The sequence below is a fragment of the Homo sapiens genome, chromosome 5 (assembly GCF_000001405.40).
Source record: "Homo sapiens chromosome 5, GRCh38.p14 Primary Assembly".
NCBI lineage: Eukaryota > Metazoa > Chordata > Mammalia > Primates > Hominidae > Homo > Homo sapiens.
In genome coordinates, this window is record NC_000005.10 from 108,873,354 (window position 1) to 108,893,911 (window position 20,558).

General features: G+C 34.0%; 1 protein-coding gene across 21 annotated transcripts in view; it reads left to right on the top strand.

The window, feature by feature from the left end:
• The window catches only part of FER (FER tyrosine kinase), a 448,945-nt gene that overhangs the window by 125,457 nt on the left and 302,930 nt on the right, over positions 1-20,558 (top strand). For all 21 annotated transcript variants that reach the window (NR_146155.2, XR_007058589.1, XR_007058591.1 and 18 more), the window contains one exon: positions 10,043-10,165. Coding sequence is in view for 17 of the 21 variants with exons in the window: in NM_005246.4 (NP_005237.2) it covers positions 10,043-10,165 (123 nt within the window). In the remaining 4 variants the exon portion in view is untranslated. The remainder of the gene's footprint in view (positions 1-10,042; positions 10,166-20,558) is intronic.

The following is a 20,558-nucleotide window of genomic DNA, read 5'->3' on the forward strand; positions in this document are numbered from 1 at the left end:
AGGCTGATCTCAAATTCCTGACTTCAAGTGATTCACCCACCTCGGCCTGCCAGAGTGCTGGGATTACAGGCGTGAGCCACTGTGCCCAGCCAGGTTTTGGAATCTTTAAAGCTGGCTAGATAGGATTGAAGAAACTAACAAATATTTGTCCGCAAATCATGTGTACAAGATGAAGGCTTAGTAATTATGGCATACTGACTACTGGTGAGAGCAATGGAGGCATGAGAGTACACTGCATTACAGAGTTTTTCCTAGCAGCCTTATTGGGATTTTTGAAGCTGTTCCTAAGTTTTTCATGCCCTATACAGGGGTCTCACTTGACTAGGTTTCTGACCATTGATATTTACAATGTCAGCCATCTCTAAACCAGTAGTCCTTGCCCTGGGTGATTTTATACTCCAGGGGACATTTGACAGTATCTGAAGACATTAGCCGTAGATGCTGCTAAACGTCCTACAGTGCACAGGACAGCCTCCCAAACAAAGAATTATCTGGTGAAAATATCAGTAGTGTTGAGGCTGAGAGACTCTGCTTTAAACAATGGAGTTGAATGTATGGTGCAAAATGGATAGCAGAGTTTCTCAATTCCTGTGCAGTGAGACATTCCATTTCTCAATTCACGTGCTGCTGGTGAAGGAATATGACATAGATTACTCCTGTTTCTTTTTATTATAATATTGCTCCCAAATAACTTACTAATTTATTCATCTGATATATTTACTGTATATCTAAGGTTGTAAGGGTTAATGCCTTCAAGGACTTTACACTGAAATTGATTAATATGTTTTAATAAACACCAGAAAGAGTGAGTATATAGATTTTGGAATATAGTGTGGTAAAATTAAAAATAGCTACCTGTTATAAGCTTATGTAAAATCAGAGATTTTGTGACCAAAGAAGAATTTGTTTTATAGCTTTCTAGGGTATAATGAGACCAAAATTAGGTATGCTCATAAATCATTGTTTCTTAATTATAGTGATGAAGCAGTAAACAAAAATGCAATAAATTGAAGGTAATAAATCTTTGATAATGTGGTAGAAGTTTTAATTGCTCACATTTTACTGAGATAAACTTTAGTTACATTTCATTTAACAGTGTCTGTATTCAGGATATGAGTTTAAGATTAGGGGTTTCTTCAAGAATTTTATTCCCAGAGAGTTATTCAGCATCTCTGTTGGCACTTTCAAATAAGTATAAGGTAATTCCATTAAAACTGTATGTATTTTTTTAATGTAATATAAGACTTAGAAAAATCTTTCTTCCTTTTTTTTTTTAACTTAGTAGTGCTTTAAAGTTAAACATCTTTTCTTTCCTGAAGGCATTAATATTGTTAATTTAGTCGTAGATTCGTGTTGTAATATTATTCTAATAGAAGTGAAAGAAACAAATGAACAGTTAGTTCCTGGAAAAAGAAATACAAATTACCAATAGTACTTGGAAAAGATATTCTTCTTTGGCAATTAAATATAAATTAAAAAGAAATAGGCTATTTAACTTACCAGATTAGAAAACATTAAATAATTGGATAATACCCAGTGTTGTATAAAGTACAGATATATAAGCCCTCTTATAAAATGTTGCTACATATGTAAGTTGGTGTATAATTTGGCAAATTATATTTGTGAAACTGGACAGATAACTTATCCCCTCTGTTATGGAAATCTAACACTATGACATGTACCTGATAAAGTTATCACCTTTACCTATCTGAATATGTACCACGAAGCATTTTATCGTAATCTCATTATTTATCTATCAGCCATATTTATCAAGGTCTAAATACATAGGAGAGTTAAACTCAATTATTTGTAGGATTATCTCCTATTTATAGGAAAATTTTTTGGATGGTATCTTACCATGTGGTCAAAGGCTATTTCTCAGCTTCAGGTAACTTCTAGTACTGGACACCTGAAGCTGTGCACTTCCCATCACACATGCATTTATGCTACATTATTTTCGGGCTTAAATCTGAGGTTACTTTCTTTGTATCTATTATATATAATATAATTTCTCTCCTTCCCTACCAACACCTATCTCCCATCTGCCTCTTTTTTTGCATCTACCTTCTTTGCCAAATGCTGAAAGCGTTTTTGTGCTTAATTTATTTTTAATCATCTATTTATTAAAATTATATATGCAAATATTTCATCTCATCTAGTTACTATTTAATTGAATAATTTGGGACTCAGTAATTTTAGTTTTTCAAATTAGTTGAAAAAGTAAAGTCCATACAATTTTGAACATTAGAAGAATATATTTAAGTGTCTGTTTCGTGCTTTTTGTCATTATGGACAGATGAGTCATCTAATGGTGACCTATTGCAAACTTAAATGGAGTTTTGAATCAACACATCAGTAGGCTAAGTATGACAAATTAAAGATAGCAGGTTATTCTAAAATAATATAAGCATTAACTTGTCTGCAAAAGAAGAAATTTTGATTAATTTTAATAAAGCAGTAAAGAATTAAGGTCCTATTTAGTTATTTTGTTGACTCTGTTTTCTGATTTCAAATGAGGTCTCTTTATTATAAGGTGTTATTGCCTATCAGTAGTAGATATATTTGAATACCATGATTACGTAAAATGTGTAGTCTTGTATTCTAAAACAAAATCTAGTCTCAGGCCTTATGATTTCAAGTACATTTTTTAAAGTTTAAAATCAGAACATATTTAGCTTTTAGAATATAAATAGGATATCTCAATTGAAGAATGGTAATTCTTTATGTGGAAAAGTGATTGTCTTGGATCTTGTAGGGCATGAGTCAGCAAACTATAGCCCATGAGGCAAATCCAGCTAGTTGCCCATTTTTATGCAGCCCACGAGGCTAAGAATGCTGTTTGCATTTTAAATGGTTGGAAAAAAATCAAAGGAAGAATTATATTTTGTGACACACAAAAATTATGTGATGTTTAAATATCAGAGTACGTAAATAAAGTTTTATTGGAACACAGCCATGCTCATTCACTTACCTGCTATCTGTGGGTGATTTCACACTACAGTGGCAGAGCCAAGCAGTTGTGACAGAGACCATATGTGGCACACTCATTACTTCACACATCTGCTTGGCACTATACAAATCACAGTGACACAGTTATAACTCAACAGCATTTTGAGTGCCACACATATCAGTATACTGTGGCATCTTATTTTTATTATCAGTTCATGCCTATAGTGTCAAAAGAAGAAGAGAAAATAGATTTCAAATGTGGCACTTTTAAGGCATAGCAGAATGTGGATTATTTTGTTATTGAATTAGATGAAGAAACATTGTGTTTATTATGCAATTGCACCATGCCTGCTAAGCACTGAATATACTTAATTAAAATCTTATGGTCATGGATTGCTATTGGTATTTGGCAGTACTAGTCTATGTACTGTACAAATGTGAAAGACTTAAAATTTTATTAAATATCTGCATTAATAGGTGAACATTTATAGTTGATTTTGATTATAAACACTAACTTTGAACTGCAGTGATAGGAAGTATTATGGCCATCAAAAAATTTTCATTCTTCTCATTAAGAGACTTGCATTACGATAACATGTGCCCAGTTATTACTGTATTTTGAATTTGCCAACAAAATATTTGTGAATCTTTGTTTTCTCTTTTGTTATATAAATACCTATGTACCATGCTTGATTTTGCTTCTTGGTGGCAAAGTCTAAAATATTTGCTTTCTGTGCTTTTATCAGAAAATGGTTGCTGACTCCTGTTACAGAGGATGATACCAATTTAACCCATCCAACTATCTGAATCAACCTTGTATTTAATGGGGTGTCAAATACTTCACTACTCCATCTCTTGCATAGAGCCTTGCTTTTACCAAATCTGTTTTTGGCTGTTCTTGTTTACAGTATTAGCTCAAGTTTGGTCTCTGGTTGAACATATACAGTATTATAATTTGCTCAGGCTGTGTTAGGGGAATACTTTAAGAGTGAGTTGGAAAGATTTGGAAAAATGTAAAATATTGAAGTCAGGTGACATGTCGGAAGGACCGTTTGATTAAGGGAAACAAAGTTGTATGGAAGAAAGCAGATGGATTTGTTGGATTGGAGGTGGATTAAGTGGGTATTAGGAGGTGACTGTATTTAACAGAAACTCGTAACTTTCACTTGGTTGTAGAAGCCATCTTCTGTTTACTCTTGAGAAAAGCTCATAAAGATTTGTGTCATGGTATAGATTGTCATCCATAAAAATCCTATGCTCTTGCAATTATATTTTAAGAAAGAGATGGCAAGAAATAGTTTATGTTTTCAATTTATATTGCAACAATAGAGAAAAAGAGATGCCAGAAAAGTTACCTCAGGCAACTATAAATTCCATTTTTTTAATTAACCCAAATGTCACACTTAAAGTTTCAGCATTGCAAATTTCATGTAAGAAATGAAAGTTAAGATGGTTTGTCAAGTCATAATTTTTTTTGGAAGTTGGAAGTTTGATCCCTTTAAGAGTGTTGTAAGATTTAGATCGTGACATCCAATGATTATGATATGAAAAGTGTTGGATAAGTATTGGAAACTTTTTATTATCCATAGTAAAGGTTTTAAGACTTTGTATCTTTTTTTTTTAGACTGAGTCTTGCTCTGTTGCCCAGGCTGGAGTGCAGTGGCGCAATCTCTGCTCACTGCAGCCTCTGCCTCCCACTTTCAAGTGATTTACCTGCCTCAGCTTTCCAAGTAATTGGAACTACGGGTGTGCACCACCATACTTGGCTAATTTTTTGTATTTTTATTAGAGATGGGGTTTCACCATGTTGGCCAGGCTGGTCTCGAACTCCTGACCTCAACTGATCTACCCGCCGCAGCCTCCCAAAGTGCTGCGATTACATTCGGGAGCCAACATGCTGGGCTTCCTTTGTATCGTTTAATACAATTAAATCTTTAAAAATTATCTAACTAAAGCATGCAGATGATAAAATCTATAAAATCTTACAAAAAGGTATACAATAAAAATTAACATTTTCCTTTCTTCTTTTCGTCGACCACCATCACTACCTTCTAGGTTTAACTCATGAAGAAAGTGTATGTATTTTTCCAGAATGTATATACAATGTATATACATGTGTGTGAATTGTTTTCTTCTGTGTAAGTAGGAATTATTTTATGCATATTCCTTAGCATCATCTTCTTTTTTTTAACATGTATTAAATCTTCTTAATGTGTACAGTGTTTTACTACTTGTATGTAATGTAATTTCTTTAGTTTTGTTATTTATTGATGGGCATTTAGGTTATTTCCAGTTTTTTCCATTGATGGAGTTGGTGCTAGGTTTTGTGGGACTCTAAGCTTATAAAATTGGAGTGTGGGGAACATCTTTAAGAAAATCTATACAAACTTACAAATACAAAATTAAGTAGAGAGTCTTGGAAGGGATCATGCAAGTGAGGCACCTGAGAACTAAGCATCATTAGCATCATGATACATTTACTTTTGTTTATTGTGATTATACAATAAACATTCTTGTATTTACATCTTTGTACACTTTTGAAGCATATATATGGGATAAATTCTAGGATGTGTAATTACTAAGACAGGATATTAGTTGTTAAGGGTGTGGATTCAGGATTTAAGCTGCTTGGGCTCTATTATCAGCTTTTCCCACTTACCGGCTCTGTGACGGTGGACAAGAGCTTTAACCTCTCTGCTTCAGTTCTTCATATGTAAATGGGGATTATAAGGGTGTTATAAGAATTATATAAATTTAAGTGCTTATTTATAAAGTGCTTAAAACTATGCTTGGCACTCAAATGTTAAGTATTATGTCATTTTGTGATTTTTTTCCAGGTAGGGTCATTTTATGACTTTTAACTGCTTTGCCTTATAATATTATAATATTTAATTTAAAAATATAAAGAATAAGCCATTTGAACTGTTACTATTTTTTATGCTATTTTATTTTATTTAAGTTCCAGATACATGTGCAGTACATGCAGGTTTGTTATATATAACGTGTGCCATGGTGGTTTGCTGCACCTATAGACCCATCACTGGGTATTGTCTCGCATGCATTAACTATATATCCTAATGCTGTCCCTCACCCTGCCGGCCCTCCCCTCAGAGGCCCCAGTGTGTGTTATTCCCCTCCCTGTATCTGTGTGTTCTCATTTGAACTGTTACTATTATATTTGTATACGAAACATGTAATAACATGATGGTGAATATTGTACTTTGAAATTTATGAACTATTCTTACATTTGTTATGTCATCTATACATGAACTGTAATTACTCAAATGTTTTTCTCTTCACTTAATTCACACATTACAGGTTTTTTTTTATTTTTAAGGGGATAATGGTAAGAAAGAGTAAATACTTTCACCATATGTATTTTTTTTAGATTAAAAAAAAATATATATATATATATATATATATTTGAGGCAAAGTCTCACTCTGTTGCCTAGGCTGGAGTGCAGTGGCACGATCTTGGGTCACTGTAACCTCCGCCTCTCAGGTTAAAGTGATTCTCCTGCCTCAGCCGCCTGAGTAGCTGGGATTACAGGTGCCTGCCACCACACCCAGCTAATTTTTGTATTTTTAGTAGAGACGAGGTTTCACCATGTTGGCCAGGCTGGTCTCAAACTCCTGACCTCAAATGATCCACCCGCCCTCAACCTCCCAAAGTGCTGGGATTACAGATGTGAGCCACTGCTCCTGGCCTCCCTGTATAATTTTATTCTTCTAAATTCATTTGTCTTTTCTTCTTTGATGTCTGTCTAGTAGAATGTAAGTTTCCTGAAGGCAAACTTGTTTATTATTGTATCCCTACTGTCTAGCAGACTGTCTGACACAAGGAATGTGTTTAATAAACACTTGTTTAAATGAATGATTGAAGTTTTGAGAAGAGAGATGAATGGAAAATTAACCAGGAAGAGAATGAGAATAAGGGAAATGTGCAGGGAAGAGCAGCAAAGGATAGAACAGAAGAAAGTGATAAGGAGAGGAAAGGCTTTTTATTAAATTCAGCTTTGATGTAGCATGGTCAAGGCAGTGATAAGAAGCTGGTTGTTTTTTCTGTTTCCACCAGACTTGGGTGTCAGAAAGTGGTTGGGACAGATTCTGAGGTAGGGCTCTGTGTTCTAAACTTTCATTTGAATTAAATGAGATTATATATAAGGCACAGTTGGAACAGCAAAGCATTATGTGTTATTTACTTATTTATTTATTTATAATTATTTAATAAGGAAGTTGGAGCCAGTGGTTGAAATGTAGCTTTCTTGACAATGATCTTGAATCTTAATATAGTAATGTTTTCTTTATCTGATAGTCAGAATATGAACTATTCCATGCAAGCCAATTCTCTCAATAACTGAAGCTTGTATCTCCATGATATTCAAAAACATAATTTTACTGGATTTGATACAAATGTCTTATGAATATATATATATGATTAAAGAAAAATGTTCAATCTGACCTTTCCCTGATGACTCTCGATCATTATTATAAGTATTATTGCTTTATTTTGCTTTAATATCAAATGCCGTCAGAGACTTACTGAAATTTATGACGTTGTTTCACTCTAAATAAAAATGAAATAATATTTATTGCTGTATTTAGCATTCTTCTGAATATGTATAATAGTTTTTCTGCCTCTCTTATTTCTATTACCTATTATTTAATGATTCTAAAAAAATCTATTCCTGTTATAAGAGATTCAAACAATGATATATATGGAGTAAACTATGAAAGACTTCTTTGGACTTAAATCACTCCCTAGTCCAATCGCACACCTCTCAGAGTATTGATAAAACTTTGGTTTATAGTCATCTGTTTCTTATCCTGTGCACTCACATATAAACACATACCACATAAATATATTGTATTAGTCTGTTTGGACTGTATTAGTCTGTTTTCACGATGCTGATAAAGACTTTTGAGCCTGGGAAGACAAAGAAGTTTAATGGACTTACAGTTCCCCATAGCTTGGGAGGCCTCACAATCATGGTAGAAGGCAAGGAGGAGCAAGTCACGTTTTACACGGATGGCAGCAGGCAAAGAGAGTTTGTGCAGGGGAACTCTTCATTTTAAAACCATCAGATTTCATGAGACTTACTCACTATTGTGAAAAGAGCGTGAGAAAGACCTGCCCCCATGATTCAGTTACCTCCCACTGGGTCCCTCTCACAACACGTGGAAATTGTGGGAGTTACAATTCGAGATGAGATTTGGGTGAGGACACAGCCAAACCATATCAGACTGTCATACAAATTACCATAGGCTGGATGGCTGAAACAACAGAAATGATTTCTCATAGATATGGAGGCTGGGAAGCCCAAGATCAAGATGTCAACTGATTTGGGTTACTTATGAGGTCTCTTTTCCTGACTTGTAGATAGGTAATTCTTGCTGTGTCCTCAGATGACCCTTTCTTTGCATACATGAGGAGAGGGAGAGGAGAGGTAGTGGGTTCTGTGCTGCTTCTTCTTATAAGGGCTCTGATCCCATCATGAGGGCCCCACCTTCATGACTTCATCTAATTCTAATTACCTCCTAGAGGCTCCATCTCCAGATACCATTATATTGGGGGTTAGGGCCCCAACAGATGAATTTTGGGGTCACAATTCAGTTCATGGAACATATGCATGTATATGTATTTTAATATAATTAGAACAATGCTATATGTATTCTGCTACATTTTGCCTTTTAATTTAAAATTGTATCTTAGAAAAACCTTATATATGTGTACCTAATTCTGTTTTAGTGACTGTATGCTATACTAGGGCATTTAAATATTTTGTAGTTTTTTGCTTTATAATCAATATTGCAACAAATATTTTTGTATGGACAGACTTTGTGCATATTGTACAAGTGTTTTGGTAAGACACATTTTTAGATGGTCAGATAATTTTCTAATTTAAAATTTGAGAGACAGTTCCAAGATGACCCCTGAAAAATCTGTGCCAATTTTTTCACATCAGTGATGTATAATTGTTTCCATTAAAAAAAAATAATATTGCTATTACTGGATATTCCAAGTATTTTTCATGCTTGTCAATTTTAGTAGGTGAAAAATAACTTATTATATAGTCAGTCTAGTTATAATAATGTCATATGCTTATTGATCATTTAATTTTTTCATGGTGAACTTCCGTTGTGTTAAGCATATGAACTTCATATGCTTATTGATCATTTAATTTTTTCATGGTGAACTTCCATTGTGTTTTTTGTCCATTTTCATATTAGTTTGTCTTTTTTCTAAGAGTTTTTCTGCACGAAAAGGGCTCTTTCTGGTAATTTGCGCTGCAGGTATTTCTTCAGGTTTGCTTTTGACTTTATGATCTCTTTAAGTTCAAATAAATTTTCATTTTTATAGAGTTAGATTATTTAATATTTTCTTTTTTGTCTTTTGGGTTTCATGTCTTGCTTTGAAAAGCTGAAGATAAAAATTTTAAAGTGATATGATAGCCATGTATGTTTTTGTGGTAGAAATACTTCCGTTAAGGACTCAATGCATTTTATACAAACATAAATTATCTGGTTTGTGAGCGCATATTAATTTATGTATTAAATTGTCTTCAATTCTATACAGAAAATACTCCTAAAGTATTACTACAATATGTGAAAATAGAAATAGCTTACCATGAATTTAAAATGACAAATAACTGAGCCTCACTTTCATTTCTTTAAAATAATACTATATATCTCATAAGATTGTTGTGAAGAGTAAATGAGATAACATCTGCAAATAATACTACTTACCATTTACTCAATGTCTACCAAAGTTGTTCTCTTCTCTTTTCTTTACCTACTTCTCTTTTTCTTTTTGGTGAATAAGACTCTAGACCAGTATTGCCCGAGTACTTACTGTGATTATTGAAATATTCTTTTTTCCACCATCCAGTAAGGTAGCCAGTAGCTACATTTCTGTTTAGCACCTGAAATGTGTCTAATGCAACCAAAGAGCTGAAATTTTATTTTAGTTTGAATCAGATTATATGTGGCTACTGTTTTGGACATTGCAACATAAGATGTATGAATACTTTTTTGATATGTATAAAGTGAAAATTAATTTGTTGGTTGTTATTGAGGATACTGTTTATTCTAGGTTGAAAACGTTAGCGGAAGAACTTATGCAAACACAGCAGATGCTTTTAAACAAGGAGGAGGCTGTTTTGGAGTTAGAGAAGAGAATTGAAGAATCTTCTGAAACTTGTGAGAAGAAGTCTGAGTGAGTAAAAGAGAAACAATTTGAAGGAAGAATGTTTAATTGTAATTTTACAAAAATATTTTAGTTACATGGCAGTGTGAACCTAACATTTCTAGAAACAGAAACTTTTATTTTAAGTATGAAGTTTTGTATAGTTAATTTCTAGGATTCTGGAAAAATGATTCTGTGGTTTTAAAAAATATAGTGTCCTTGGGAAAAATGATTATGTATTTTTGTAAATATAGCATTCTGATCATATGTCTCAATGTTTTAACAGTTTGAACTATCTTTCAAAAATTCATTGTTAAAAGCTGTCTTTACTTTCCTACATCCATTTTCACCAGACCCATTGTGAATTCCCCTGTTAAGAAAGTGGCAGACCAATATTACCTATAAATAGTCTCTACTCTGTTAAATGGAAGCAGACTGATGAGAAAACAGATAAAAATCACTCAGTGATTAGCTGTGCTATTTTGTCTTGCTGATTTCTGGATTTGCAAATATCTTCCTAGGTCCACAGACTTTACTTGTGTTGGTATACTCTTCTTTTACTGACTTCATTATGCTTTCTACTGCTTAAGAATTTAAAATTTAATCTAAACTTCAAGTTTCTAATCTGCTTTTATTAATTGCATCTACAAGAGTGGGTGCTGGTGTGGTTTTTCTAATCCTGACTAGACCTCACATATTTCTTGCTATTATACTCTCACATATTCTTTGATTTATCAAGACTCTCAAGGAATTTGTGATATATAGAATTTCTCCAGTTTATACCTGCTATTTCTGCACAACTTTTCATATATCCTCCACTTATTTCAGATCTCTGATTACTTATCTCCCTCATCATAGTGAGCAGATGGACATCCACATCCCAGAAATAAATTAGAAACATTGGATGACATTTTTCTTCTTTTCTGAGATTAGAGTTCCAAACCCACCCAAATTTGTACTCAACATCTTTCCTTACTTCAATAGAGGAACAGTTCTTTGTCCTAAGTTCATTTCTTATGCCTGGTTTTTTTTTTGTTTGTTTGTTTGTTTTTGTATTTTCTCGTCTCTACTTTCTCAGATTTTACATAATTTATGTATTATGTTCACCTTTCCTTCCCAACTGGGTCCTTGTGCTCACTTTTAAAATATACTTAAGTCTTGACTCCGAAAAACAATCTCCACCTCCCTACCCACCCCAAATAATCCTTTTTAAATCTCCATATTTTTTCCCACGTACTATCTTTGCTTTCTGTTTTCTTAGTTCGAACTTGTTCCAAGAGTGATTATGCTCACTCATTTCCTCAATTCCCACTTAGTTTTCAAAGTCTGGCTTTTTGCCCTATCGCTATGGAAATGGGTAGCTCTAAGATCACAATGATGTCTACATTGCTAGCTAAATTTAGAAACTATCTTACTTGACCTCTTAATAGTATCTGAATTTACTGACTTCATTTATTTTCTTTTCCCTTGGCCTTTGGAACTCAAAATGCCAGATCTTAATCCTCTCTTTCTGGCCACTCCTTTGCAAACCCATTCTCTTCCGCTCAGCCAATCCATTTTAGAGTTAGGGAAGGCACGGCCCTAGGCTGTCTCACTCCTTTCCCTGAACTTTTTCCCTAAGTGATCTGGTGAAGATGAGCCATTTATTACTCTCTCTCAGATTTATTTTCTGAACTCCGTGGCCATGTAACCAATTGCCTACTTGACATGCCTTTTTGAATGTCTTAGAAGTATCCTAAATTCCCAATGTCTAAAGGCTGAATTAAAAATCTCCATACAACCCAACCAAACTCAACCTAACCTGGTTCACTCTTAGTATTCTTTATTTCAGTGAATGGCAACATCATCCATTCTATTATACCACATCAAATTTTAGAGGGCTACTTTTCTCATTTATACTATAGCTGTTATTACAACTTGGTGTTAAATTTTTGTCTGGGTCTGTTTGGTCTGCTATAACAATGTGCCATAGACTAGGTGACTTAATAAAGAGCAGACTTTATTTCTCACAGTTCTGGAGGCTGTAAGTCTGAAATCAGGGTGCCAGCATGATTGGGTTCTTGTGAGGACTCTTTTCCAGACTGCAGACTGCTGTCTTCTCATTGTATCCTCACATGGCAGAAAGAGGGTAAGAGCTCCCCGGGATCTCTTTTATAATGGCACTAATCCCATTGATAAGGGCTCTACCTTCATGACTTAATTACCTTCCAAAGGCCCCCACCTCCTAATACCATTGTATTAGGAGTTTTCAACATCTGAATTTTGGCAGCATACAAACATTCAGTCCATTGCAACATTAAATGGGAATCGATGAGCCCTGTAAAGGCGAGAACAGGAAAATTTGAGTTACTCTGATCATTCCTTTACTAAATCTGCAAATTTTTAGTATTGCATTAACAGAAGATTTTATTTGAATGGTAAAATAAAACATCACCCATTGCACATATAAAATTAAACAAAAGAATTATCTTTTGCTTTTCTGTGTTTGTGGATGAATCTCTTCACATGTTTATAGATGACCAAGTGGTTCTACTTTTTATAATTTTGCAAAAGGACACATTATAATGACTCCTATTTTAAAATTTAGTGGATATAAAGAAAGAAAATTGAAAGTGCTAACCATTTCACCAGAATGTCTGGCTATAAGTTGTTGGAGGAGATGATCTTTAAGGGCTCCCTAATCTAGAAGTTATGAGATTATTTGAATTTTTGCATGTTTTCTTGACAAATCTTTGCCTCTCTTTTTATCTACATAATGGGTGTATAATCCATGTTCCTCTACCTGTTTATATTTATCAGGATATGAGAATGGATATAAGAGAGGAGCCTTGAAGGGTAGTGGATATATGGAAAGTAACATTTCTTGAGTTTTTACTTTGTGTCACATATTATGCTGGGTATTTATATATATATATTATAACATATAAACATATATATTATATATAACATACATAAACATATATGTAACATACATAAATGTACATATATATATATGTTAACTCATTGAATGTTATCTTTCTGTGCCTTTTGTATAGTAGCCTGTGTTTTACCTTCAGGTCTTTGAGACTTTACATAACTTACTTACAATCACATACATAGTAAATGGTAGAAAAGACATGAGTTGTTGACTCCATAGCTTCTGTCTTTTTGATCATATTATTTGCTTGATCTTATGATTTTAACAGCATTCTTTAGAGAATAAGTTAGCAGGGGTAAGTATGCCAAGCTTTTCAGGGGATGAGACCTGTTTAACCCAACTCTTGTTAACCTTTGTTACCATGGAGTTATTATTGTTAGAGTCAAGGTATAATCTTGAAAATGTTAAGTATATTTATATGACTAAAGAGTTACTGCTAAATTTCATTAAATGCAGACATTGGTAGGGTTAAGTTTGCCTTTGAATTATATGTTAACATATTTTGCTAAACACATAGTCTGAAAGGGATTCCAGGGCAAATGTTTGCATTTTAATTTCTTAATATTTCTTGAATATTTCCTTTTATTGTGTACATGTGTATATAACTACACATGTATGTTTAAATATGCATATATAATTAAAATCAATTTTTATCTGGTTTTAATAATAAACTTACATTATCTTTACTTCTCAACACTTTGTTAGTTTCATGTACTGTGTTACTTGTGAGACTACATTTCTTCCTAAATGTCAAAAATAGTCTATGTTAGATATTTGCATTCTTAAATTATTTTTAAATTAATGGAATTATATTGAATGTTTACTTAATAGAAATAACAGTATTTGTTGTATCAAAATATGAGACTAAAACCACATTTTTATAATTTGAATTTAATATATCCATGTCTCTAAAATATCTAATGACAGTGAAAAAATAAATTATATGATAAATCATTTGATGGCTTTGATTCCTATAATTGAATAATATGAAGAGAAAAATAAACTTCAAGAATGGCTTTTATGTGATTTTAAATTGACACATTAGCAAAAACAGAGTTCAAGCTTATATAAGTAATGCAGGTCTTAGTTGAAATGTAGCTATCGCAGAATTTTATTTAAAAAATATAGAATGAAAGAAATAAAACCAACCATTTGAAATTTTTATAAAAAAATTTTAATGTATTAAATACACTAAATATGCTAAATTAAATACATTTAATGTACTTCGTGCATTTAGTGTATTTAATATGCTAAAATTTTGTATTGTATAACATACACTAAATATACTTTAATCCAACACAGAATATCAGTCTAGTATATATACCTTCACTCATTACTTCTAAAGTCTCTTTATTCAAATGGAAATAATACCAATCTTTTCCTGATTTGTGGTCCTTGACTTTTGTATTAGAAAAAAGTTATGGGAAAAAATACCAAGCATATGTCATTTATGACTTGGTGGCATAAAGAGCTAGTGATGTTACTGTTGGTTTGAATGCTTGGTTTGATTTACAAAAAGTAAATGATTATTTAATTTTGTATTGTCTTAACCTGTTTTATATCATTATCACTTAGTATTTAAAAATACCTTATGTATTATAAAATGATAGAGCCATGCAGAATCTTAAGAGATCATTTGATTTAGCCTCACTGCCTTTCAAATAATGTGACATCTGAGGTCCAGAAATTTTGAGAGACTTGCAAAATGTCACATCTAGCTTCTGGTAAAGCTAAGACTTAATAATCTAGAATAGTGTTCTAGTTTTGAAATTCAGGAACCTTACATTTTTTTCCTTTGGCTCAGAGTTTTAGAATTATGTGATTTAAAAAAAATGTGCTATGTAAATAGGGAATTCATTCAACAATGTTGATTGTGCATCTACCAGATGCTGTGATTGCAGTGAGAGGTAAGACACGTATGGTCACGTGGCTCATGAAACTTACACTTTTGTGGAGGAAACCAACACAAAATTAAAATAATTACCAGTTATTATCATTGCTGTGAAATAAGGGTTCAGATAGAAGAATAACAGAGGAACAGCTACTTAAGAAGTACGGTCAGAGGTCTCCTAGGAGATAGGCAGAAGATAACCTGCATGTGAAGAATGCATGGAAAGAGTGTTCAGACATAGGAAATAGCACATGCAAGGGTTCTGGAAGCTTCCACGTTTTAAATTTATTTATGGCCTCCTATGCATCATGTACTAAATAATCATACATTTACTATAATTTCTACTTACTGAAGTATGTATTGCTTGTTTGCTCAATGGTATTATAAACATAATTGTATAGTATTTTACATAGTGAGACCAGCAATACATTTTTTTCAATAATTATTGAACAAAAGGAACATGTTCATATATGAGAGATTATGTCATAGATAAAGGCTGAAATGGGATTAATTGGAAGAAATGAATTTTTCTAATTGATTTCATGATCAGACATGTTGATTTTAAAATGTTAGGACTAGAGACATACACCCCCTGCAAGTCTCATTATCCTTAAAAACCACTAAAAATCAAAACCAGGAAATTTACGTTTTAATCTTATTCTTGGTATTAAGATAGTGTCTCTGAGTATCTAATTGATTGCCAGCATGGTACAATACAGTAGAAACTTTCAAGTCCTGAAGGGGAATAAAAAAGACCTTCCTCCAAAACAGATTATTTGGGTAGGCGCCCAAGACATATGAGAAGATAAAAACCTGAACTCAGTTAGTGTAACCACTATGGAGAACAGTTTGGAGGTACCTGAAAAAACTAAAAATAGAGCTACCATGCCATCCAGCAATCTCACTGCTAGGTATATACTCAAAAGAAGGGAAGTCAGTGTCTCCAAGAGATATTTACACTCCCATGTTTATTGCAGCACTATTCACAATAGTCAAGAGTCCGAAGCAACCTACGTGTCCATCAACAGACAAAGGAAATGTACCTATACACAATGGACTACTATTCAGCCATTAAAAAAAGAATGAGATCCTGTCATTTTCAACATGGATGGCACTGGAGGTCATTATGTTAAGTGAAATAAGCCAGGCACAGAAAGACAAACTTTGCATGTTCTTGCTTATTTGTAGGAGCTAAAAATTAAAACATTTGAACTCCTGGAGATAGAGAGTAGAAGGATGGTTATCAGAGGCTGGGAAGGGTAGTGGGAAGTGCTGGGCAAATGAATGAGACCTGATATTTGATAGCACAACAGGGTAACTGTAGTCAATAATAATTTAATTGTACATTTTAAAATAACTAAAAGAGTATAATAGGATAGTTTATAACACAAAGGATAAATGCTTGAGGTGATGGATACCCCGTTTACCGTGATGTGAGTATAACACATCACATGCTTTTATCAAAATATCTCATGTACTTCATAAATATATATACCTATTATGTACCCACAAAAATAAAAAATGAAAAAATTCCTCACCTCACCAGAGGAAGCGTGATGTAGCAGCGGTGATACATATTTTTAAATTAATTTTTTTATTTTGAGATCATTATGGATTGACATTTAGTTGTTAGAAATAATACAGAGAGATCCCGTGTACCCTATACTCAGTTTCCCTCAATGGTAGCATCTTGTAAAACCATAAAATAATATCACAACCCAGATACTGACATTATGCAGTTAAGATACAGAACATTTCCATCACTACAAGGATCTCTCATGTTGTACTTTTAGCCACACTTCCTTCAGTCCATCTACCTCCTTAGTAACCCCTAGAAACCATTAGTGTGTTTTTTCAAGAATGTGATATAAATGGAGTCATGTTGTATGTAACCTTTTGGCATTGGCTTTTTATTCAGCATAATTCTTCAGAAATTCATCCAGCTACTTTCATTCCTTTTTACTGTTGAGTAGTGCAGTGTTCCATGGTATGTGTATCAGTTTCTTAGGGCTGCTGTAATAAAATACTGCACAGTGGGTAGCTTAAAGCAACATAATTTTATTTATTAAATTTATTCTCAGTTCTGGAGGGTGAAAGTATGTAATGAGGTGTTGGCAGTGTTGGTTCCTTCTGAGAACTCCAAAGGAGAATCTGTTTCATGCCTGTCTCCTAGCTTCTGGTGATGGCTGACAATCCTTGACATTTCTTGGTTTGTAGAAGCTTTACTCTAGTCTCTGCCTCTGTCTCCATATGACCCTCTGCCTGTGTGTCTCTTCTCTGTATCCAAATTTTCCTCTTCTTATAAGGGCAACAGTCTTTTCCATTAATGGCCTATCCTACTCCTGTATAATCTCATCTTAACTACATCTGAAACAACCCTGTTTCCAAATAAGGTCACATTCTGAGATTTCAGGCATTAGGACTTGAGCATATCTTCCTGGGGGATACAATTCAACCCCTAACAGTATGGATATACCACAATTTGTCTAATCATTCACCCTTTGAAGGATGTTTGGTTTGTTTCTAGTTTGGAGCTAGTACAAATAAAGGTCTCCAAACATTTATGTATAGGTTTTTATGTGAACATAAGTTACAATTTTTCTGGAGTAACTGCCTAGGATCACAGTTGCTAATTGTATGGTAATTGTATGTTTAGTTTAGTTTTGTACTATTACACATTTCCATCAGCAATGTGTGAGTGATCCAGTTTTTTCTCATCCTTGCCAGCATTTGGTGGTGTCACTTTTTCACTATGCTATATTTGAGCCATTCTAAAAGATGTGTAGTGATATCTCATTGTTGTTTTAATATGCATTTCCCTAATGAATGATGTTCTGGAACATCTTTTCAATGTGCTGGTTTGTCATTTGTATATCCTGTTTTCGTGAAATACCTGTTCAACTTTTTTGCTCATTTTCTAATTGGATGTTTGGTTGTTTTGTTTTGTTTTGTTTTTTAACTCTGCACTCTTTATATATTCTAGAGCTTTATATATTCTAGTTCTTTATATATTCTAGTTCTTTGACACATATGTCATTTGTAAATAGTTTTCTCCCAGTCTGTACCTTGTCTTTTTATCTTCTCAAGAGACAGGGTCTTTCATAGAACAAAATTTTTTAATTTTAAAGAAGTCCATTTTAGGCTGGTCCGAAGAGTGGATAACTCAATTGATTGTTCACAGTCAGTTATAGATTGAACTCCTCGTTTTACTCCTTCTCCCATTCTCACTACTGCACTTGACTAGTCTTAAAAAAAAAGTCCATTTTATTTCTTTTAAGGTTTGTGGTTGGTGCTTTGGTGTTAAGTCTAAGAAGTCTTTGCCTAGTCCTAGATCTCAGAGGTTTTTTTCTCTTTTGTTTGTTTTTTTTTTCTTTTTTTTTTATTATACTTTACGTTTTAGGGTACATGTGCACAACGTGCAGGTTAGTTACATATGTATACATGTGCCATGCTGGTGTGCTGAACCCAGTAACTCGTCATTTAACATTAGGTATATCTCCAAATGCTATCCCTCCCCCTTCCCCCACGCAACAACAGGCCCCGGTGTGTGATGTTCCCCTTCCTGTGTCCATGTGTTCTCATTGTTCAATTCCCACCTATGAGTGAGAACATGCGGTGTTTGGTTTTTTTGTCCTTGTGATAGTTTGCTGAGAATGATGGTTTCCAGCTTCATCCATGTCCCTACAAAGGACATGAACTCATCCTTTTTTATGGCTGCATAGTATTTCATGGTGTATATGTGCCACATTTTCTTAATCCAGTCTATCATTGTTGGACATTTGGGTTGGTTCCAAGTCTTTGCTATTGTGAATAGTGCCACAATAAACATACGTGTGCATGTGTCTTTATAGCAGCATGATTTATAGTCCTTTGGGTATATACCCAGTAATGGGATGGCTGGGTCAAATGGTATTTCTAGTTCTAGGTCCCTGAGGAATCGCCACACTGACTTCCACAACAGTTGAACTAGTTTACCGTCCCACCAACAGTGTAAAAGTGTTCCTGTTTCTCCACATCCTCTCCAGCACCTGTTGTTTCCTGACTTTTTAATGATTGCCATTCTAACTGGTGTGAGATGGTATCTCATTGTGGTTTTGATTTGCATTTCTCTGATGGCCAGTGATGATGAGCATTTTTTTCATGTGTCTTTTGGCTGCATAAATGTCTTCTTTTGAGAAGTGTCTGTTCATATCCTTCACCCCCTTTTTGATGGGGTTGTTTGTTTTTTTCTTGTAAATTTGTTTGAGTTCATTGTAGATTCTGGATATTAGCCCTTTGTCAGATGAGCAGCTTGCAAAAATTTTCTCTCTTTCTGTAGGTTGCCTGTTCACTCTGATGGTAGTTTCTTTTGCTGTGCAGAAGCTCTTTAGTTTAATTAGATCCCGTTTGTCAATTTTGGCTTTTGTTGCCATTTCTTTTGGTGTTCTAGACATGAAGTCCTTGCCCATGCCTATGTCCTGAATGGTAATGCCTAGGTTTTCTTCTAGGGTTTTTATGGTGTTAGGTCTAACGTTTAAGTCTTTAATCCATCTTGAATTAATTTCTGTATAAGGTGTAAGGAAGGGATCCAGTTTCAGCTTTCTACATATGGCTAGCCAGTTTTCCCAGCACCATTTATTAAATAGGGAATCCTTTCCCCAGTGCTTGTTTTTGTCAGGTTTGTCAAAGATCAGATAGTTGTAGATATGCGGCATTATTTCTGAGGGCTCTGTTCTGTTCCATTGGTCTACATCTCTGTTTTGGTACCAGTACCATGCTGTTTTGGTTACTGTAGCCTTGTAGTATAGTTTGAAGTCAGGTATCGTGATGCCTCCAGCTTTGTTCTTTTGGCTTAGGATTGACTTGGCGATGCAGGCTCTTTTTTGGTTCCATATGAACTTTAAAGTAGTTTTTTCCAATTCTGTGAAGAAAGTCATTGGTAGCTTGATGGGGATGGCATTGACTCTATAAATTACTTTGGGCAGTATGGCCATTTTCACGATATTGGTTCTTCCTACCCTTGTTTTTTTTTTCTAAAAGTTTAATAGTTTGAGATTTTACATTTACATCTATGTTAACTCTTTTCTGCTGAGGCAGTACATTCTATTAATCCTAGATCTCAAAGGTTTTCTTCTTTATTTTTTTTTTCTACAAGTATAATAGTTTGAGATTTTACATTTAAATCTACGTTAACTCTTTTCTGCAGAGTCAGTACATTCTATCTTCCTAGAAGTAGGAGGTCTTGGGATGTAGTTTTATAATCTGGCCAAAATGTCTCTCAGAAGCAGGCATAGTAATGAGGATACCACATGGAAACAACAACAATAAGAACAAAAACATCCCACAGACAGCATGTTCAGCATTCTAGGTGACAGTGTCCCCATAAGTCTCCCCCCATATTTGTGTGAGCGGCTGAATGACGAACAGCAACAAGACAAAAGGCAACTGTGTGGGGCAAGCAAAAGGAAAGGAAAAAAAGGCCTTATGGTCATAAGAGCTTGATCTTGGATGGTTCTAAGAGCATAAAAATCAATGAATAGTCGTCTTTTAAAGAAAGTGTTCCTACTTACAGTGGAGGACTCCATGAACAGATATTTAAATAACACATAAAACTGGTAGGGGGCTGTATTAGTCTG